The 22,870-nt window shown below is 38.2% G+C and overlaps 1 protein-coding gene across 12 annotated transcripts in view; it reads right to left on the bottom strand.

Annotated features, from left to right (window-relative positions):
* The window catches only part of UHRF2 (ubiquitin like with PHD and ring finger domains 2), a 93,856-nt gene that overhangs the window by 32,185 nt on the left and 38,801 nt on the right, over positions 1–22,870 (bottom strand). For 10 of the 12 annotated variants that reach the window (NR_046386.2, XR_428418.5, XR_007061241.1 and 7 more), the window contains one exon: positions 14,079–14,297. The exons of 1 other annotated variant lie outside the window; for it this stretch is intronic. Coding sequence is in view for 5 of the 11 variants with exons in the window: in NM_152896.3 (NP_690856.1) it covers positions 14,079–14,297 (219 nt within the window). In the remaining 6 variants the exon portion in view is untranslated. Of the gene's footprint in view, positions 1–9,023; positions 9,127–14,078; positions 14,298–22,870 lie in introns of those variants that run through there. One more of the 12 variants, XM_047422749.1, reaches the window with a different exon arrangement.

The following is a 22,870-nucleotide window of genomic DNA, read 5'->3' as shown; positions in this document are numbered from 1 at the left end:
CTAGGCAAAAATAAGATGCCCTTTTCATAAAGTCTTTCAAATACTACACCATACTTGTCAGACTCAATTCATATTTGTTTGTATATACTTCTTCAAAGTTTCCTACTACGGGTGTGGATTTGTACATTTCTCCATTTATTTATTTGTTTGTTTGTATTATTTATTGAGATGGAGTCTCGCTCTGTCACCAGGCTGGAGTGCAGTGGTGCAATCTTGGCTCACTGTAGTCTCCACCTCCTGTATTCAGGCAATTCTCCTGCCTCAGCCTTCCAAGTAGCTGGGATTACAGGCCTGCGCCACCATACCCGGCTAATTTTTGTATTTTTAGTAGAGACAGGGTTTCACCATGTTGGCTGGGCTCGTCTCGAACTCCTGACCTCAGGTGACCTGCCCGCCTCGGCCTCCCAAAGTGCTAGGATTACAGGCATGAGTTACCACACCCAGCCCATTTCTCCTTTTAATCTGTTGGCTTTTGCTTTATTAGCTACAGATTTAAGAAGCCTAAATCTTACTGAATATCTTATCTCTAGTAATGCATTCTGAATCAAAAGTTTACTTTCTTTTGGTTAGCACTTGCTTGAAGACTTTTTCCATCCTTCCACCTTTTCTTTAAAAACTTTCAATGTCAAATATACACAAATGCAAAAAACTGCATAAATGCATAGCTTAACCAATTATCAACATGCACATCCGTTGTGACCACCAATGACAGAAGACATAGGAATATCAACTACCTCAGAAACCCTCACCTTGTCCCCTCACAATGACAACTTCATGTCCTCCGAAGTTATATTTACCTTAATTTTTTTCATGTCACTTGTCTACCTCCCTAAAACAGTTTTGCCTGTGTTTGAAAAGTCTCTAATCTATAAATTCACATGCCATCTCTTTCCTCCTTGAAATCTGTTAACAAGTCCAACCATTTGTCCTATAGTGTTTCTCACAGTGTTGATTTTTGATATTTGCATTCCCAAAGTATGGGTTAAACAGTTTTTTCTGTCATTCGCATTTCTTGTACATTGGTAGCTGATCTGGAGCGTAGGTCAAAAAACTTTAAAAATAAAGTTTTATTAGAACTTAGTTATGCCATCTGATTTTTGTATTATCTATGGCTGGTTTCATGCTGTTAACAGGGGAGTTAAGTAGTTGTGACAGACCATCTGGCCCCCATGTTAAACTATTTACTATCCGGCTCTTTACAGAAGAAAAATATTGCCAACTCCTGGGCTAAAGACTCAGTCTCAATCAGATTTAGGTTCATTTTCTTGGTAAGATAATTTCATAGGTCTATTTCCATCAGGAAGTACCTATTTATTTATCTCTTTTCCTCTCCTGACGGCAGCTACTAATGCTCAATGCCTACATTAATTCTTTGGGGATTAGAAAATGTTGATATTCCCATTCTATCATTCCTTTCTCATCTCATTTACTTGGCACAATTTTACAGAGAAATGACCTCACTAAACTAGTTGGTGACCCAGTAGTATAGCTCATATAACAAAGATAAAATGCTGACTTAGCAGTTTTAAAAATAAATCATTCTCTAACAACTTCCATACTGACTGTGTTACTATGGACTCATGGATTTAAATATATTTGGTATGTCTCAACCCACTTTATTTTTCTTATCAATGTTCAAATTGTCTCATCTTTGACCAGTGGGAGCTTCCAGTTGACTCCCAAATCCTTCTGACGAGAACTTAGCAGACTTTGTGGGACTCCTTATTTGCATGACAAGATATTCCAGGTTCATCTTGCCCATTTTCTGCCCCCAGCCAGGAGTTTCTTTCAGTGGGAAAGGTATTTCGAGACCATAGTTAGGTACTAGGAAAGCTTACTGCAACTAGGTTGATTACTGTTTGTACCCTATACATTTTAAACATACACATTAATATACACACTCAAACACAAAACATCTCATGAGTTCATGCTAGTATTTTATATTCAAATTCAGGGCTAAAGGATATTTACTTTTTAAAAAAATTATGTGTCTTTTTTCCTTTTTCCCCCAACCAGAAAAATCCCAGTTCTTAAGGACACCAAAATTAGAATATTACAAATACTCCTTTGCTTTATCCCACATTACACGCAAGACATTGTTGCCAGCTGTCAATTACTGAAAACACTTTAAATTTTTTGCATATTTCCCTTCTACGTTTTAGTTATAATATAGCTAACTGTGTCAGGTCATAGAGCCAGTACATACTATACTTTCTCCTTTATGTTCAGTTAGTTCTGTTTCTAAATGTAAAAATATTTTAAATGTTTAGCGCAACTCTTTATTTCAAATTATCTTCAGTCATCTTGATTGTCTGAACCTAGTTCTCCTGAAGATTCCTTAGGAAGGGTTCATGAGAACAATATTCCCCCAGTTTTGGAAGTTAATGACAATTTGTCTATAGCTGTTATACTAAAGGCTAGTTTGGCTTGACTTAAAATCCTTGGCTCTCCTTTACTTGACTAATGCTTTTCTGGAATGTTTTCCTTGTAAGCATGTTATACTGTTCCTTATTTTCTCACTCTCTTCTAACTTCATACAGAATTTAACATCGATCCTTTCGCTTATTTTCATAAGATAAATTTCCTAAACCCTTTAAAGGGTCTAACTTCACTTTTTGCTAGCAGCTAGAGTACACATTTCTTGGAGAAAGAGTCAAAATTCTGGAGACTAAAATCTAATCTGATAGAAGGCCAATCAGTGGTGGTCTGGGACCAATGCTACAGATGGTAGCGGTAACTGTAATGGGACCCAAGGGAACTTTTGGGAGTGATGAAAACATTGTGTTTTGATTAGTGGTGACATGCGTATATCCATTTGTCAATGTTCACTGTATTTAAGATACACTTAAGGGTAAGTACATATTACTGTATGTAAGTTATACCTCAAAAACAATTTTAAAAAGACAGCATGGAAGCTTACTTACTGAAATCTTTTGGCTATATTCTCCTCCCCTATTTCTAACCGGACTCCTTTTTCCTTTGTCTCTATTCTCCTGGTCCTACTTAGTTTGGAACCTATTCCCACCAGTTTCTTCTCAATATAGAGCTTTAGTCCTGGAATGGAGCTTTAACCGACCAATTTAAAGAGTTTAAAGAGTACTCTAGCCCCTTCAGATCTTACTGCAAACTGCTTGTACTTACTCATATGGGGGTGGGTCAGGAATCTGGGAGTAGCTTAGCTGGGTAGTTCTGGCTTAAGATCTTTCATGAGATTGCAGTTAAGCCATTGGTCAGGGGTGCAGTCTCATTTAAAGGCTCTACTCAGGGAAAATAAAAAAGCTGCCTGGATAGCCTCATCACATGCAACTGGCTTCCCTCAGAGGGAGTGATCCAAGAGGGCGCACCCAAAATGGAAGCTGGTATCTTTTTAAAACCTCATCTTGAAGTGGTACAGCATCACTTACACCATATTCTATTGGTCACAAAGAGCCACCCTAGTGAAGTATGGCTGAAAACCACATGAGGGTGAGTATTAGTAAGCAGGAATCACTGGGGGTTACCTTAAAAGATGGCTACCATAGCTGCTATTTTCAAATTAGTTTGCTGAGCTAATTCATTATTTGGAATTCTTGGGCCCAACACATATTTCTCCTGCACAGCCACTGATACTACACAGGTCTTGAAGCTTTCCACTGTTTATCCCACCAGCTATTTGGGGGTTATGATACCATACCACCCTGTTTCATTGTAGATGCTGTCCATGAGTTTGTGAATTAGATAATTTAGTAATATTTTGCTCTATATTACCAGGACATTTAAGGGGATTTGAAAAGTCTTTGCTGTTGTCATCTTCTTACAATCCCAACCATCCACCTCTTTTCAACTTCTGTGATTTTATATTTAAGGAGTCTTTCTTAAGAGTAGCATGTGGATTTTTTTATTTTAATCTAGTTTGTTGATCATTGTCTTGAAATGCTTGACTCACAGTTAATATAAAGGCTGATACAGTTGTGTTTGTTTCTGCCATTTTACTGTATGTTTTCTACTTTATCTGCTTCTTTTAGTCACAATTGCCTTATTTTGGATTAGACTAATATTTATTTTTTCACTTTCAGTGTGTTAATTTGTTAAAAATCCTTTATTTTTAGTAGTTGCATTAGAGATTGGACTGTGCAAACCTGATATAATCTACTTTAAATTTTACTTTCACTACTTCCCCAATGATGCCAGAATCTCACGACTTCATTTACCAACCCCATCTTCTGCATTATTGTTGTCACGCATTTTTTTTCTATGTATATTTTAAAGTTCACTATTTAAAAAAAATTATTTATACTTACTCATACATTTACCCTTTCCCTGCTCTTAATTCTGTCCCATATTTCGATGTTCCATCGGGAATCTCATTCCTCCCACTTAAATAACTCCCTTTATTATTTCTCTTAGTGCCTGTCTGTTGATGGTGAATTCTTTCAGGTTTTATTTGATAATATTTTTATTTTGGCTTTATTTTTGACAGGTATCTTCATGAAAAAGATATTTTAAGTTGGGAAATTTTTTTTTTTTTTTTTGAGATGGAGTCTTGCTCTGTCACCTAGGCACGATCTCAGCTCACTGCAACCTCCACCTCCCAGGATCAAGCAGTTCTCCTGCTTCAGTCTCACAAATAGCTGGGGTTACAGGTGTGCACTACCACGTATGGCTAAATTTTTTCCTTTTAGTAGAGACATGGTTTTGCCATGTTGGCCAGGCTGGTCTTGAATTCCTGACCTCAAGTGATCTGCCCGCCTTGGCCTTCCAAAATGCTGCGATTATATAGGCGTGAGCCACCACGCCCAGCTGGGAATGTTTTTAAATTAGTATTTTCACATGCCATTCCACTGTCTCCTAGCTTAAATTGCTTCTAATGAAAACTTGGTCATCTTCACTGTGTTATCTTTAGTTTTTAGCATTCTTGTTTGTGATATACCACTGTGCATTTTCTTTATATTTATCCTGCTTAGAATTTACAGAACTTCTTTGACCTGAACTTGTATCTTTAATCAGTTTTGGAAATTTTGGGCTACTATATTTTCAAATACTGTTTTCACTCTACTCTCTTCTTTAGGAATTCCAAATATAAATATATATATACACATATATACATATATATACACACATATATACGTGTGTATATATACGTGTATATATATACACGTATATATGCACATATATGTGTGTATATGTATGTATATACGTGTATATATATACATACACACACACACACACACACCTTTCATCAAGTCCTATGTGTCTAACACTCTTGTACATGTTTCAGTATGGGTAGTTTTTATTGACTTATCTTCTGGTTTCCTAATCCTATCTTCTGCTGTGTCTTATTTGTTATTTTTTTATGTTTTTTAATTTTTTTTTTGAGACAGAGTCTCGCTCTGTCGCCAGGCTGAAGTGCAGTGGCGCAATCTTGGCTCACTGCAACCTCTGTCTCCCAGGTTCAGGTGATTCTCCTGCCTCAGCCTCCCGAGTAGCTGGGACTACAGGCACCTGCCACCACGCCCAGCTAATTTTTGTATTTTCAGTAGAGACGGGGTTTCACTATGTTGGCCAGGATAGTCTTGATCTCCTGACCTCATGATCCACCTGCCTCGGCCTCCCAAAGTGCTGGGATTATAGGCGTGTGCCATGGTGCCTGGCCCTTATTTGTTATTAAATCAATTTAACAAGGTCTTAGGAAACTATAATTCTCAGTTCTAGAATCTCCATATAATTATTTTGTGAATTCCAATTCTCAGCTGAAATTCACCATGTTTTCAGCATATTAATCACAGTTACTTGAAAGTTTCTCTGATAACTTGAATTATCAAGATCACCTATGGGTCTATTCCCATAATTGGTATTCCTTCTGTTTTCTGATTATGTGGCACCGTCTTTTGGCAGAATGGCATTTTTGCCTCCGTCATGGAGCCAAAAGCTTCAGATATTATCTTATATAAAGGAAAGTTCAACCTTCCTACTGCTGGAGAGATAATGTGGTGGTTTAACATTTAATCAGCATCTATGCTGAGTCAAGGCTGGTTTACAGTCTTTAAGTAAGATTTAGTCTACCTGTATGCCTTAGCCATCCACTTTTCAAACTAAAAGACCTACATATTCTGTGGAGCCATTACACCAGTTACCCTAAAATCCAGTGTATGCCTTCTAAGACTGCTGAAAATGCCACTTTTTACTACATTTCCAGCCTCTTGTCCAGCAGAAGTCCAGTATTCAACCAAAGCCCAAAGGTGAAAGCAGGCCATATGCTTGAGGCATCCCAAATATCTGCCAAAAACTCTGCTGACTTTTTCCATCCTACTCCTAGCTGCTCTGAACTAGATTTTACACTGCATCCAGAATTAGCAGATTCCCTAGGGGCAAAACACAACTACAAAGCTACCTGCCTTATGAGATTCTTACCTCTCCAGAGACATACCCGCAGTTGGTTCTCTTTGATTCTCTGGTGCATTCAAAGAGATGACTATTTGATCGGGCTATTTAGTTGTTTTAGCTAAAAGCACTAATCTACTGCCAGCTGTCCCACCCTACCTGCAAACAGGTGCTTTCCATGTACTACTTTAAGTGATTCAATAAATGTCACAAATTCAAGGCCAAAGCCACTTTTTCACTTATGTACCATTTTTGTTAAAGGCTTATCAAGACACTCTTTATGCACAAAACTAAATGCCATTGATCATAATAAAAACATGCATATAATCAATTCATTCCCCAAGAAATATCCTATTTCACTGAATCTAATAGGCCGATACTTGTAAAAACAATTTATGTACTAATAAAAAAGAAACTAGACTGAAATCAGGCAGTCTAAGAATTCCCAAATAAAGCTGGGACACTAAATGGTAATCAGCAACTATAAGACACATTATGTAATTTCAAGTAAGAAAAAAAGACTGTGATGAGGTGTCTAAGGAACACCTTCAAATAAAGCTTAGACACCAACCCATTCTCACAGTTAAAATGAGAAATAAACCACACCTTGCAGATAGAAAAAATTCTTGTTTCAATACTGCCACTGGGTATAAGGAAAAAAAAGCATCCTCCAAGAATTAAATGATAAGCTAGGATTCAGTCCGGTTCAGAGGCCTGAATTCATGCTACCTATGTGGTCTAAAAAGGCTCAAGCAGAGTATTTAAGTTAAAGTTAAATGGCACTCCCAAGTGACTAGTAAACAAGCAAATTCAAATCTTTGAAAGAATTCAACTTCTGTCAGCCCAACAGCAAATTTAAGATACATTTTTATTTCAGAGATGTTAAAATACCAAAAAAAAAAAAAAAAAAAAAACTATTCTCTCGGAATCTATGAAATACCGTACTGAAAATCTATTGTAACTAGTGCCTAGAACAAGGCCTGGCACACAACAGCAAACAAAACAAACAAAACATTAACATTCCAGTGGTATGACAGGCAGAACAATGGGCCCCAAAGAGGTTCATGTCCTAATTCCAGGAACCTATAAATACGTTACCTCATATGGCAAAAAAGACTTTGCATATAAAAAACCTTGAAATGGGAAGATTATCCACGCAGATCCAATATAATCACAGGGGAAGGGGAGGCAGAGGAGAGAATATGAAGGGGATGTAGCCACAAAAAGAACTGTCAAAGAGAAGCAACATCGTTGGCTTTGAAGGTGGAGAAAGCAGGTAACAAGCTAAGGCATGTGGGAGGCGTCTGAAACATGGTAAAGGCAAGAAAATGGGTTCTCCCTTAGAGTCTACAAAACTGAATCATATCCCTGCTAACAATGATTTTTGCCTAGTGAAATTCAAATCCATTTAAGATTTCTAACCTCCAAACTGTACTATGCTTTATTGTTTAAGCTACTATGTTTGTGGTAATTTGTTGTAGCAGCAATAGGAAACTAAATACAAATGGGGTGATAATAAATAAAATAAAGAATTCAGAAAAAGTCAGAGTAAGGGAGAATTTAAGTAGCTTATGTCTGGTATGTATGTGATTTTAAAAAGGGTGATTAAGAAAGGTAACTCTGAAGATACTTTTGAGCAGAGAACTGAAATAAGAGACAGAGTAAGTCAAATGAGTATCTGTGTAGGAGGGAACATCAAGTACAAAGGCCCCAAGGCAGGAGCATGTTTGCGTGATCAAGCAACACAAGGAGGCCAGCATGGCCGAAGCACAGTGACCAGTGACTTACAACTTGATATGCATATTAAGTATATATTCTGTAAGAAGCCATGTTCAATAAGAAGTATATCACTATAGAAATTTCTTAAGTATGAAAAAAATTTAGTAAATACATAAAACTCTGTAAAAATGACACTGAACCTAAAATGCATCTGTAGCTTTTTTTTTTTTTTTTTTTTTCCTTTTTTTTTTGAGATAGAGTCTCACTCTGTCACCCAGGCTGGAGTACAGTGGCGTGATCTCTGCTCACTACAACCTCAGCCTCCTGAGTTAAAGTGATTCTCCTGCCTCAGCCTCCCAAGGACTTGGAATTACAGGCGTGCACCAGCATGCCCAGCTAACATTTTTATATTTTTAGTAGAGATGGCGTTTCACCACGTTGCCCAGGTTGGTCTAGAACTCCTGACTTCAGGTGATCCGTCCGCCTCAGCCTCCCAAAGTGCTGGGATTACAGGCGTGAGCCACCACACCTGGCCATAATTTTTATATTTTTAGTAGAGATGAGGTTTCACCCTGCTGGCCAGGCTGGTCTCGAACTCCTGACCTCAACTGATCCGCCCACCTTGGCCTCCCAAAGTGCTAGGATTACAGGCACAAGCCACCATGCTCGGCCTTTATCTGTAGTTTTAATAAGGTAAATTAATTTTCTTCCTATAGGATTCAAATACTACTTTACTTACAAATATCTAAATCAGCATAACTTCACATGGTAGTAAATATTATATTACAGTAGTAAGTGAACAAATTATTTTAAAAAATGTTTTTGAATCCCAAACTTGTTTTCAATTTTTTTCAAAGCTAAAATAAATAGAAAATGACAACATGAAAATAGAATTTGATAACTAGAATTAGACAGTTCAAGCATATGTACTTTTTGGTACTCACAAATTAAAAACAGAAACAAGCATGAACTTTAACTCCAAGTTCCCTTATCAAATCTCCAAGGCAGATTAAAAATCATGTCCTCTATTTGCTTCTTCCTTTGCACCTTCAATACAATAGAGAGGATCAAAGCTGAAGGTTAGTTCTTTGTAAAAGTCTAATAAAACCGATAAACCTCTGATGAGAATGGTCAAAAAGTCACAAACTAAATTCAGAAATAAAAAACATCGTAACAGATTAACACATTAAAAAGATGTAGGTACCAAAAAAATTTATGACAACAGATTTTAAAATTTAGATGCAATAGATAAATTCCTAGAAAATTAAATTTTAGTTCAAGAAATAGAAAACATGAATAGTCCTCTGATCATTACAGAAACCGAACTGACCATAAAAGAACTTTCCCACAAAGAAAACTCAGCCCCAGATGACTTTATTGAGAAGTTCTACCAAACATTCAAGACAAGGACACAAAACTCTACCGTAAGAAAGAAAAAGAAGATTCCAAATTATTTTGTGAAACTAGCATAAATCCGTGAAGGACACTGAGATAGGAAAATTAACATGTAAATTTCACGCATTAATACAAATGTAAAAATCCTACACAAAACACTGTCAAACCAAATCTAGGAGAGCATATCTACAAAATTCCTATATCAAACATTGTAGTTATTGATGAAATTTTATATGTTTTCTCTTGGAAAGCAGGGGAAAAAGATGCCTGTTATCACTACTTATTTTCAACAATGTAATTCAGGGCCCAACTGGTGAATAAGGACAAGAAGAAGAAATCAAAAGTAAAGAAAAAGACAAAACAAAAATGTAATAATTCACAGATGATTATAATTCCAAACATTTTGAAACAATCTACATGTAAATTAAAATTAGTAAATCTAGTAAAGCTACTGAGTCCAAGATCAAAGGATACTTGTATTCCTATATACCAGAAAGAGAAAAGATGACTGCAAAATTCAAATGGAAGTACACAGAGCTAAGAACATATAAAACCTACTTGAAGAACAAGGCAGGATCATGTGCTCTGTTGTATTATGAAAGTGTGGAACTGATACAAAGATACACAAAAAACAGACCCATGGTACAGAATAGAGAAGTCAAAAGGATTCACCAAATATAAGATTCTTGATATGACAGAGGTGATACTGAAGATCAATGGGAGGGAAATGGGCTTTTCAATAAACAGTGCTAGGAAAAATGTTTATTCATATGTATTGAGTTAAATTAGACCCTTACCTCACTCACACTGTACACAAAAATCTACTCCAAGTCAATTAAAGACCTAAAGAAAGGCAAAACCACAAAGCTTTTAGAAGGTAATACAAGAGTATCTTTAAGAAAGACATAGAAAGTACAAGCATAAAGGAAAAAAAAACTTTCTTGAACTTTGATAACCTCAACTGCATTAAAATTAAGAAAACTACTATTCAAACATCGTAAGGAGAAAAAGACAAGCCACAGAATTAGAAAAAGTATTTTTGCCACATATAACTGAAATAGTCTAGTCTCCGTAATTAGAACTCCTAAAAATGAATCAGACACATTATTTAATTAACAACAAAAAAAGTCACCAAATTGGAACCAGGTCCTCACAAAAGATATATCCAACTTGTCAATAAAAATACGAAAAGATTCTCAACCCCACTAGGAGTCAGAGAATTGCAAATCAAAGCCAAAATGAAATACTATTACATACCCACCTGATTAGTGGAAACTGAAGTCTGAAAAAACTAAGCATGGATGAGAAAACTAACAACAGGAACTCTCATACTGTTGCAGAACTGTAACCTGGTACAGACACTTGGTTCTATCTACTCAAGTTGAAGATGCACAGGTTCTACAACCTAGTAATTTTAATCCTAGGCATGATACATCCTACAGAAACTAATGCACACAAGTGCCAGGATACAGGTATAGGTACAAGAACCTGATGGCAGCACTGTTTCTAACAGCCCCAAAATGCCTATCAACAGCAGAATGCATTTGTTCTTTCAACCTGTTATTTATCCATTCTTACCAGTGAGGATGAAAGATTTCTAATCATTAAAAAAAAAAATTTTTTTTCTCCAGACACGGTGGCTCATACCTATAATCCTACCACTTTGGGAGACTGAGGCAGGCAGATAGCCTGAGCTCAGGGGTTCGAAACCAGCCTGGACAACAAGGTGAAACCCTGTCTCTACTAAAATACAAAAAATGAGATGGGCATGGTGGCATGCGCCTGTAGTTCCAGCTACTCCGGTGGCTGCGGCAGGAGAACTGCTTGAATCCAGGAGGCGGAGGTTGCAGTGAGCCGGGATTGTGCCACTGCTATGCAGCCTGGGCAACAGAGCGAGACCCCATCTCCCAAAAAAAAAAAAAAATTCTATCCATAAGCCACACTGGTTCCTTTTTAGCTATTGTGTTCCTAACGTTTCTAGTAAAAACTTTAATGACAAAGAATAATACTTTACATTTTATTGTACTGTTGGGATAGCTATCACATAACCATTCTCTTTATCAAGCCGGTATTTGCCTATCCATAATTTCCACTCAAGTCTTTTTTTTTTTATTGAGACGAAGTTTCACTCTTGTTGCCCAGGCTGGAGTGCAATGGCATGACCTCAGCTCACGGCAATCTGCGCCTCCCAGGTTCAAGTGATTCTCCTGCCTCAGCCTTTCGAGTAGCTGGGATTACAGGCATGCAACACCGCACCCAGCTAATTTTGTATTTTTTAGTGGAGACAGGGTTTCACTAGTTGGTCAGACTGGTCTCGATCTCCTGACCTCAGGTGATCCACCCACCCTGGCCTCCCAAAGTGCTGGGATTACAGGCGTGAGCCACGGCACCTGGCCCACTCAGTCTCAGTTCCACTTCTAAAGCCAGTGTGTTCCCACTCTTAACTATACCTCAGGATCACTTGGGAAAACTTTTTTTTTAGACAGAGTCTCGCTCTGTAGCCCAGGCTGGAGTACAATGGCATGATCTCGGCTTACTGCAACCTCTGCCTCGTGGGTTCAAGTGATTCCTCTGCCTCAGCCACCCATGTAGCTGGGACTACAGGCACGTGCCACTACACCCAGCTAATTTTTGTATTTTTAGTAGAGATGGGGTTTCACCATATTGGCCAGGCTGGTCTCGAACTCCTGACCTCATGATCCGCCCACCTTGGTCTCCCAAAGTGCTGGGATTACAGGCATGAGCCACTGCACCCAGCCAGGAAATCTTTTTTTAATAGCAAGCTTTTTTAGCTCAATGCTATGTGTGCTGTTATCCTACTGTGTACACATGCTTTCTACTTCCAACACTCAAGTAGGTTAAAAGGCTCCTAACATAGCCAGTTTATTTAGGGGCTTTCTCCTTCTTCATGATTTGCATCCATATCAGGGTTTCAAGTTGTTTAGAAGTCTGTGACTGAGCTATACCCTTAGTCTAGCAATAGAATCACACTTTTGTTTGTAAGAAGTTCTGAAATCTGTTCTCTAAAATGTTAAGTTTTCAACACCTCGCATCATTTTTTTTTTTTTTTTAAATCTCAGGAGTCAGCAAACTTTTCCCACGAAGAGCCAGAAAGTAAGTAGTTTTGGCTTTGCAGGCTAGATGGTCTCAGTTGCAATTATTCAACAATACTGTGGAGCACAAAAATAGCCACAGATAATACATAAATTAATGGCCACTGTTGTGTTCCAATGATACTTTATTTACAAAAATAGGCAGCTAGTGGGCTATAAGCTTGCCTATCCTCGCTTTAGATTTTTAATCATTGTTCCAAGATTTGTCACCTTGTATCACTAATCCAGTTAATCAGAACTTGACACAAATATTCGTTTAGCTGTTTCTCTTATTTTTTTTTTTTTAAAAACAAAAATTGTCAGGGTTATTCTAAAACCCTCGGCACTCAATAAAACAAATCTAACAATTTATTCTAAAGAAAAGAAATGCACAAAAATGCATATACAAGGATGTTTATGTAATTACTGATAATAAAGAACTGGAAATGATTAACAGATTTTATTTATTAAAAAGGAAATTAGTGACTATTCAGCAAATTATTCAGAAGCAGCAGACACAGAAAAAGAGTGATAATGTTTTCCAAAGTGTAAAAAAGTAACTCAAATAACGCCTAGTACTTTATCACTTTGGGAAACATCTGAAAGTATTTCTTAAAAAATTAATGATAGAAAGCTGGGCGCAGTGGCTCATACCTGTAATCCCAACACTTTGGGAGGCAGAGGCGGGTACATCACTTGAGGGCAGGAGTCGAGACCAGCCTGGCCAACATGGTGAAACCCCATCTCTACTAAAAATATAAAAGTTAGGTGGGCGTGGTGTCATACGCCTGTAGTCCCAGCTACTTGGGAGGCTGAGGCAGGAGAACTGCATGAACCCAAGAGGCAGAGGTTACAGTGAGCCAAGATCATGCCGCTGCACTCCAGCCTGGGTGACAGAACAAGGGGCGGGGGGGAGGAGAGAAGGAGGAGGGGGAGAGGAGGAGGGGGGGGAGAGAGAGAGGGAGGGAGGGAGAGAGACAGAAAGAAAAAAAGAAAAGAAAGAAATGATAGAAATATCTGAAGGATTTGATTCAGGTGACATTTTGCATTCTGAATTCTCTTCATTAAGTTTAAATTCTGTAAGGTGAAAAATCACTATGAAGGAAAATTTCAGCTAGTCTTAGAAGTCCAGCAGACAGCTGGTTAAGTAGTCATCCACTGCTATTACATCAACACAGATCCTCATAGCAATTATAGTTATTAAAATGCTTTTATATATTGTTTTGTTCAATCTATAAGAATCCTATGAGGAAGTAAGAATTTCTGTAATAAAACACTCAGTTATTTCCAACATTCTTCCAAACAGTATCTCCAACCTTAAAGTTGAAGATCTAAGCCATTCTTAACTTTTAAAAATTCTTAAGAATTTATAAAAATATTCTCCTTCAGTATGGAAATTTCCATCTTTTATAGACTCCATCTTTTTTTACTAAGGTACACGTGCTTAATACCTAAAAATACATTCCTTGATCAATTCAGTTAATTAAATGGCACCAGTGAAGACAATCTTACCCCAGGAAAATTTTCACACGAAGTTCTTTTTTGGTCCTTGAGATTGTCTTCAATGTGGTAATTTCTGCATCAAACCAGAATCCTCTTTGTCCAGGACTTTCTACATTATAATTAACCATTACCACATCACCAACATTTAGTTCATTCCATTTCAAAATGGTTCTAGCTCGTGGTCTAAGATCCTTGACATTCATTTCTAGAGTACCGCTTTCTGGGTATCTGAGGAGAGAGAAAACCATATGGCTTATGATTACCAAAGACAACTAAAGTTTTATGCAATGTACAGAAAAACCTAATTTGCTGAGTTAATCATCTAAGAGAAAGAGTAAAATAGGTTGAAGTGTCCTTAAATAGCAGGTGTTATTACTTCATGTTGGTTTCTCACCTGTACTGCGATACCTACAGGGTAGTTTCTATATCAGCATGAACTGTCTCCCCATTCCCACTAGGCCTTGGAGATGTGGATCTCTTCATGGCTTGCAGGTTGTCAGGCAAGTAAGTGTTCAGCCCGCATTCAAGAACCACAATCATCTACTTTGAGGGAGCTATATACAATTTTTCTAGAATAAACTATATGTTATGTATCTATTCAGTCACGTATTACTGTTATAATCTAGATATTCGCAATGGGAGACTGAATATTTGTAATGGCACTTAAATGATATACACTCATGATTTGACTTCCCAGAGCAAAACTATTCTTGTTAAAGTCTTATTAAGACGTTCATTGCTAGCTGGGAAAGTAGGGGACTGGGGAGGGTGATAAAAACATAAGCTCTTGCTCTACATTTTTTTAACCCAAGTTTTGTTTTGGTTTCTGAGACAAGGTCTCACTCTGCCACCTAGGCTGCAGTACAGTGACACGATAATAGCTCACTGTAGCCTCAAACTCCTGGGCTCAAGAAATCCCCGAGCCTGAGCTGCCTGAGTAGCTGGTACTACAGACACGTGCCACCACACCCAGCTAATATGTTTTTCTTTTGTAGAAGCAGGGTCTTACTATGTTCATGACGCTGGTTTAGAACTCCTGGCCTCAAGCAACCCCCTGCCTTGGACTCCCAAAGTACTGGGACTACCGGCATGAGCCACCATGTCAGGCCTCAAGTTTTTTGTTTTGTTTTGTGAGATGGAGTCTTACTCTGTCAGCCAGGCTGGAGTGCAGTGGTGTGATCTCAGCTCACTGCCACTTCCACCTCCTGGGTTCAAGTGATTCTCCTGCCTCAGCCTCCTAAGTAGCTGGGATTACAGGCATGTGCCACCACTCCTGGTTAATTTTTGAATTTTTAGTAGAGACGGGGTTTTGCCATGTTGGCCAGGCTGGTCTCGAACTCCTGACCTCAGGTGATCCACCCGCCTCAGTCTCACAAAGTGCTGGGATTACAGGCATGAGCCACCGCACCCGGCCCCAAGTTTAAGTTTTAACAGGACTAGATGATGGCCTCTTTCTGATCTTTGTACAAGTTCATCAAGTTCTGCCATTTTGCAGTACTTATAAGAACATGAACCTGGCATATTCCGATAGTCTCCATTTTCCCTGAAAGAGAAAGGAAAGATTCCAGTTTCTTTCTTTCTTTTTTTAAAATTTAAGTTCTTGGATACCTGTGCAGAAAGTGCAGGTTTGTTACTTAGGTATACAGGTGCCACGGTGGTTTGCTGCACCCATCAACCTGTCATCTACATTAGGTATTTCTCCTAATGCTATCCTTCCCCTAGCCCCCTACCCTCCGACAGGCCCCTCTGTGTTATGTTCCCCTCCCTGCGTCCATGGGTTCTCATTGTTCAACTTCCACTTATGAGTGAGAACATGTGGTGTTTGGTTTTCTGTTCCTGTGTTAGTTTGCTGAGAATGATGGTTTCCAGCTTGATCTATGTCCCTGCAAAGGACAGGAACTCATCCTTTTTTATGGCTGCATAGTATTCCATGGTGTATATGTGCCACATTTTCTTTATCCAGTCTATCATCGACGGGCATTTGGGTTGGTTCCAAGTCTTTGCTGTTGTGAACAGTGCTGCAATAAACATACATGTGCATGTGTCTTTATAGTAGAATGATTTATAATCCTTTGGGTATACACCACCCAGTAATGGGACTGCTGGGTCAAATGGTATTTCTGGTTCTAGGTCCTTGAGGAATTGTCTTCCACAATGGTTGAACTAATTTACACTCCCACCAACAGTATAAAAGCGTTCCTATTTCTTCACATCCTCTCCACCATTAAAAGAACTAGAGAAGCAAGAGCAAACACATTCAAAAGCTAGCAGAAGACAAGAAATAACTAAGATGAGAGCAGAACTGAAGGAGATAGAGAGATGAAAAACCCTTCAAAAAAAAAAAAATCAACAATCCAGGAGCTGGTTTTTTGAAAAGATCAGCAAAATAGACTGCCAGCCAGACTAACATAGAAGAAAAGAGAGAAGAACCAAATAGACACAATAAAAAATGATAAAGGGGATATCACCACTGATCCCACAGAAATACAAACTACCATCAGAGAATACTACACAAATAAACTAGAAAATCTAGAAGAAATGTATAAATTCCTGGACACATACACCCTCCCAAGACGAAACCAGGAAGAAGTCGAATCCCTAAATAGACCAATAACAAGTTCCGAAATTGAGACCAATAACAAGTTCCAACCAAAAAAAGCCTAGGACTAGACGGATTCACAGCTGAATTCTACCAGAGGTACAAAGAGGAGGTGGGTACCATTTCTTCTGAAACTATTCCAAACAACAGGAAAAGAGGGACTCCTCCCTAACTCATTTTATGAGGCCAACATCATCCTGATACCAAAACCTGGCAGAGACACAACAAAAAAAGAAAATTTCAGGCCAATATCCCTATGAACATTGATGCAAAAATCCTCAATAAAATACGGGCAAACCGAATCCAGCAGCATATATCAAAAAGCTTATCCACCACGATCAAAATCGGCTTCATCCCTGGGATGCAAGGCTGGTTCAACATATGCAAATCAATAAACATAATCCATCACATAAACAGAACTAATGACAAAAACCACATGATTATCTTAACAGACGCAGAAAAGGCCTTCTACAAAATTCAACCCCTTCATGCTAAAAACTCTCAATAAACTAGGTTTTGATGGAATGTATCTCAAAATAATAAGAGCTATTTATGACAAACCCATAGCCAATATCATACTGAATGGGCAAAAACTGGAAGAATTCCCTTGGAAAACTGGCACAAGACAGGGATGGCCTCTCTCACCATTCCTGTTCAACAGAGTGTTGGAAGTTCTGGCCAGGGCAATCAGGCAGGAGAAAGAAATAAAGGGTATTCAATTAGGAAAAGAGGAGGTCAAATTGTCCCTGTTTGTAGATGACATGATTGTATATTTAGAAAACCCCATCATCTCAGCCCAAAATCTCCTTAAGGTGATAAGCAACTTCAGCAAAGTCTCAGGATATAAATCAATGTGCAAAAATCACAAGCATTCTTATACACCAATAACAGACAAACAGAGAGCCAAATCATGAGTGAACTCCCATTCACAATTGCTACAAAGAGAATAAAATACCTAGGAATACAACTCACAAGGGATGTGAAGGACCTCACCAAAAAGAACTACAAACCACTGCTCAACGAAAAAAAAGAGGACACAAACAAATGGAACAACATTCCATGCTCATGGATAGAAGAATCAGTATTGTGAAAATGCCCATACTGCCCAAAGTAATTTATAGATTCAATGCTGTCCCCATCAAACTGACAATGACTTTCTTCACAGAATCAGAAAAAACTACTTTAAATTTCATATGGAACTAAAAAAGAGCCCGTATAGCCAAGACTATCCTAAGCAAAAAGAACAAAGCTGGTGGCATCATGCTACCTGACTTCAAACTATACAAGGCTACAGTAACCAAAACAGACATGTAGACCAATGGAACTGAACAGAGGTCTCAGAAATAACGCCACACATCTTCAACTATCTGATCTTTGACAATCCTGACAAAAACAAGAAATGGGGAAAGGATTCCCTATTTAATAAATGGTGTTGGGAAAACTGGCTAGCCACATGTAGAAAACTGAAACTGGACCCTTTCCTTACACCTTATATAAAAATTAACTCAAGATGGATTAAAGACTTAAACGTAAGACCTAAAACCATAAAAACCCTAGAATAAAACCTAAGCAATACCATGCTGGACAAAGGCATGGGCAAAGACTCCATGTCCAAAACACCAAAAGCAACGGCAACAGAAGCCAAAATTGACAAATGGGATCTCATTAAACTAAAGAGCTGCTGCACAGCAAAAGAAACTATCATCAGAGTGAACAGGCAACCTACAGAACGAGAGAACATTTTTGCAATCTATCCATCTGACAAAGGGCTAATATCCAGAATCTACAAAGAACTTAAATTCACAAGAAAAAAACAAACCACCCCATCAAAAAGTGGGCAAAGGATATGAACAGACAGTTCTCAAAAGGAGACATTTATGCGGCCAACAAACATATGAAAAAAAGCTCATCATCACTGGTCATTAGAGAAACGCACATCAAAACCACACTGAGATACCATATCACGCCAGTTAGAATGGCGATCATTAAAAAGTCAGGAAAAAACAGATTCTAGTTTTTACATGTAGCCAGCTCTCTAGAAACATTCTAAAAAGAAAAAAGCCAAGAAATTTCATCAGAAAGTAAAACCATGTAAAAATTCTATCAGTAACTTGGCTGTACGTATATTTCCTAATAGTAAGTATTACAAACCTAACCTGACCTGAACCTAAAGCTTTATAAGGTTCTTCAATTTTACATATTTTTATTTATTGTTTTTAGAGACAGGGTTTCACTCTGTCACCCAGGCTGGAGTGCAGTGGTGTGATCATGCCCGCTGCAGCCTTGGCCTCCCAGGCTCAAGCAATCCTCTTACCTCAGCCTCCCAAGAAGCGGGGGCTACAGACGCATGCCACTATGCCTGGCTAGTTTTAAAACTTTTTGTGGAGACAGGGTCTCACCATGTTGCCCAGCTGGTCTCAGACTCCAGGGCTGAAGCAATTCTCCCATCTTGGCCTCCCAAAGTGCTTGGATTACAGGCATAAGCAATCATGCTGAGCCAGGTTCTTCACTTTTAGGCCTAACTTCCTGATATCATCAGACCAAAGAAATCAGTAACAGTCCACACTGGCTTCTATAAAATTAAGACCTGCTGCTCCTCAAGTATGCTCACTGCAGCACTATTCACAATAGCAAAGACTTGGAACCAACCCAAATGTCCATCAATGATAGACTGGATTAAGAAAATGTGGCATATATACACCATGGAATATTATGCAGCCATAAAAAAGGATAAGTGCATGTCCTTTGTAGGGACAGGGATGAAGCTGGAAACCATCATTCTCAGCAAACTATCGCAAGTACAAAAAACCAAACACCGCATGCTCTCACTCATAGGTGGGAATTGAACAATGACAACACTTGGACACAGGAAGGGGAACATCGCACACCCGGGCCTGTTGTGGGGTGGAGAGAGGGGGGAGGGATAGCATTAGGAGATATACCTAATGTAAATGACAAGTTAATGGGTGCAGCACACCAACATGGCACATGTATGCATATGTAACAAACGAGCTCGTTGTGCACATGCACCCTAGAACTTAAAAGTATAAACAAACAAACAAACAAACAAAAAAGCTGCTGCTCCTATGTATTGCTAGGTAGTAGAGGGACAAAGAAATGAGTAACATCTGGTTCTTACTCTTAAAAAGCTCAATCTATCAAAGGTAGGCCAGGCTACTACAGCAGTGGTTCTCAAAGTATGGTCCCAAGATCAGCAGCATCAACATCATCTGGAAATCCAAATTCTTGGGCTCCATCTCAGACCCTTAGTCAGAAACTCTGGAAATGAGGTCCAGCAATCTACATTTACAAATCCCCTCAGTGATTCCGATGCATGCTCAAGTTTAAAAACCCACTGTGCCATAGAAATACAGGAATTAGTATTTATGATATTAAATATCATATCCTAGAGTGAGGCAGCATTAAAAAGGTAGAAACTAAGGGAAGAAATCTTGAACCGTTACCCAACTAAGAGTGGCCTGCTCAAAACCAAAGTGGGCCTGAAGTTAGAAGGAGCTAGCTCTGGCTCTTCCAAATCAAACAAGGACTATGTAAGCTCAGGACTCTAATAGTGTACCTAACTCATTTCGATTAAATAGATATTAATCCTGTGTGGGATCTTACGTAGGTGATGGGGGCTGGGGGGCAGTTTTAACTCTAAGAAAAGCCACTCTGTGTTCACGTAGTTCTGACATAGGAAAGAGAAGGTACTTGATACTGAATCAAAGATAAGCTTTTGGAACTCATTCTATGCCTTAAGTCCATGAAGAAATCGACACACTCTTGCCACAACAGATCTAACACTTAGCCTAAATGTCCCTGCCAGCCTCAATCATCATCTTTCCTAATTCAAACCATTTTTAATGAATTTCCTTCAACTCATGTGACAAGGTTTTGGATCCTTGTATCAATCCTGGTGTCTTCACTCAAAAGATGTTCTATTTTCAGTCTGCCTAGGTTTAGATTCCCAATTTAGCTTCTCCCTCAACTTCCCACCAACCCCTCAACTTAGCTTCTGGCCACTGTGTATACTTGGGAAAGTTACCAAATCTTTTGGACTATATTCCTAACCCGTAAAACGTACCTAATGGTAACTGTATCTCATATGGTGGTTTTGAGGACTAAAATGAGAAGTCTTTTAAATCACTTAGAACAGTACATAATGGGGGTAAAGTAAATGTCAATTAGTATTTTTTTATTATGCAGAAATAATCTTAAAGAAGGAACCTGACAAGTACAAAATTATGTCTATAGTTCTACTCTTCTCCATTTCAATCCCTACTTTTTTTCTTTTTTTGAGACGGAGTCTTACTCTGTTGCCCAGGTTGGAGTACAATGGCATGATCTCAGCTCAGTGTAACCTCCGCCTCCTGGGTCCAAGCGATTCTCCTGCCTCAGCCTCCCAAGTAGCTGGGACTACAAGTACCTGCCACCACTCCTGGTTGGTTTTTTTGTATTTTTAGTAGAGACGGGGTTTCACCATGTTAGCCAGGATGGTCTCAATCTCCTGACCCCGTGATCTGCCCGCCTTGGCCAATCCCATTTTTTAATGGTCAAACCTAAATTTAAAGTCTGTAGCCCAACATCTGGTATTTATACACTCGTGTTGTTTCACAACGGTTTGGTCAGAAAAATAACAAACATTTTTCTCAATCTATAAAATGAGGTTAAACTAGATCTTTTAATGCTTTTCTAATTCCACAGTTGTAAATTCATTTCCTGCCTCAATATTCTTAAGTCCATGTAAGACAGAAACCTGTTCTATTTCAGATAATATTCCTTTCTCAGCTGTAAAGTGAAAATTACTTGGACAACACATTATCATCATTCTGTATGTTTTTAAATAACACTGTAAAAAGCATATTTCAGTGGCAAAAGAACCACCTCCATTAACCTAACTCTGTCAAAATTAAATACCCAGAATGGAAAGATTTTGAACTAAGTAGAGAACCTCAACAAAGTTTTAAAATTGTATATACAGTTATGTTTATATGGAGACAGGGCACCACAGCAAGGGAATTTAAGCTATTCCTGCACCAAAACTAAATTTGTACAAACTCAGGAGAGAATTATATAGTGGATTATATATATTCTATCTGTACTCATACACATACATAGTTAAGTCTGTAAAAGGTAAGTCATGAAAATGAAGCATACATTTTTAAATTCTAACCAAGGAGACAGTAAGTCAATTGCTAGGGGGAAGAAAAAACAAAAAAACAGAAAAGGAACATAAAACTACTCTTAAAGTCGGGAACCTATTATGCGCTCAAATGTTACCTAATATTTTCCTGGGCATCTTCAGCTACACATATTTTAAAATATACAGTGACAACTCTAAAGCTCCACTCTCGCCTAAACTTTTCAGATTCATATAACCATCTACACCCCAAACTGAAATGTCCCAGAAGCACCTCAAATGCAAAGCATCCAAAATGGAATCCCCCTACCCCATAATCTGCTGGTGCTCAGTATTCTCTGAGAAAAACCCTTCATGCTCTTAGAAGTGTAAGAGTTATCTCCAATTTATCTTATGTTGCCTTTATCCAGTTACTTAGTCCCATTTACGATAACCTGTTAATGACTGTTTAATGTAACTCTATATCCTTAGTTAAAATCTACCTTTCTCAGACTAGGCCCAACACACTTCCCCATCTTTAGGATCACACCTTTCAATCCATATCATATTTCTGCCAAAATGAAGATTCTAAGACACAGACCTACTTAAAATATTTTATGAAGTTTGATTACAATTTGTTGACAGGCTATGGGAAAACAAGTACTCTCATATATTGCTGACAAATACAAAGTGGTATTTTCCCCTCTTAGAGGGGCATCTGTTAATTACCAGAAACACTGTCTATACATTTGCTTTCTGACCCAGGAATTCCACCTCTAGGACTGTATCCTGGACATAAATAAAATCCTGATGAAAAGATACACAAGGCTATTTATAGCTGCACTATTTGTAACAGGTCTAAAAACAATCAAACGTCCATAACAGAAACCCTTAAGATAACATAATACAGGTACATAATAGAATATTGTGCTCCTATAAAAAAGAAATGAGAAACATACTAGGAAGTGATCTCCAGGATATATGAACTTAAAAAAAATAAGGTGCAAACGGTATGTGTAGTTTCTATTTTCTATCTAGTGTATATATGTATAAATACACATATATACACTAGATATGGGTATA

This window comes from Homo sapiens, chromosome 9, assembly GCF_000001405.40.
Source record: "Homo sapiens chromosome 9, GRCh38.p14 Primary Assembly".
Classification (NCBI taxonomy): Eukaryota; Metazoa; Chordata; class Mammalia; order Primates; family Hominidae; genus Homo; species Homo sapiens.
The sequence above is the reverse complement of the archived record's forward strand: the minus strand, read 5'-3'. Positions and strand labels throughout refer to the sequence as shown.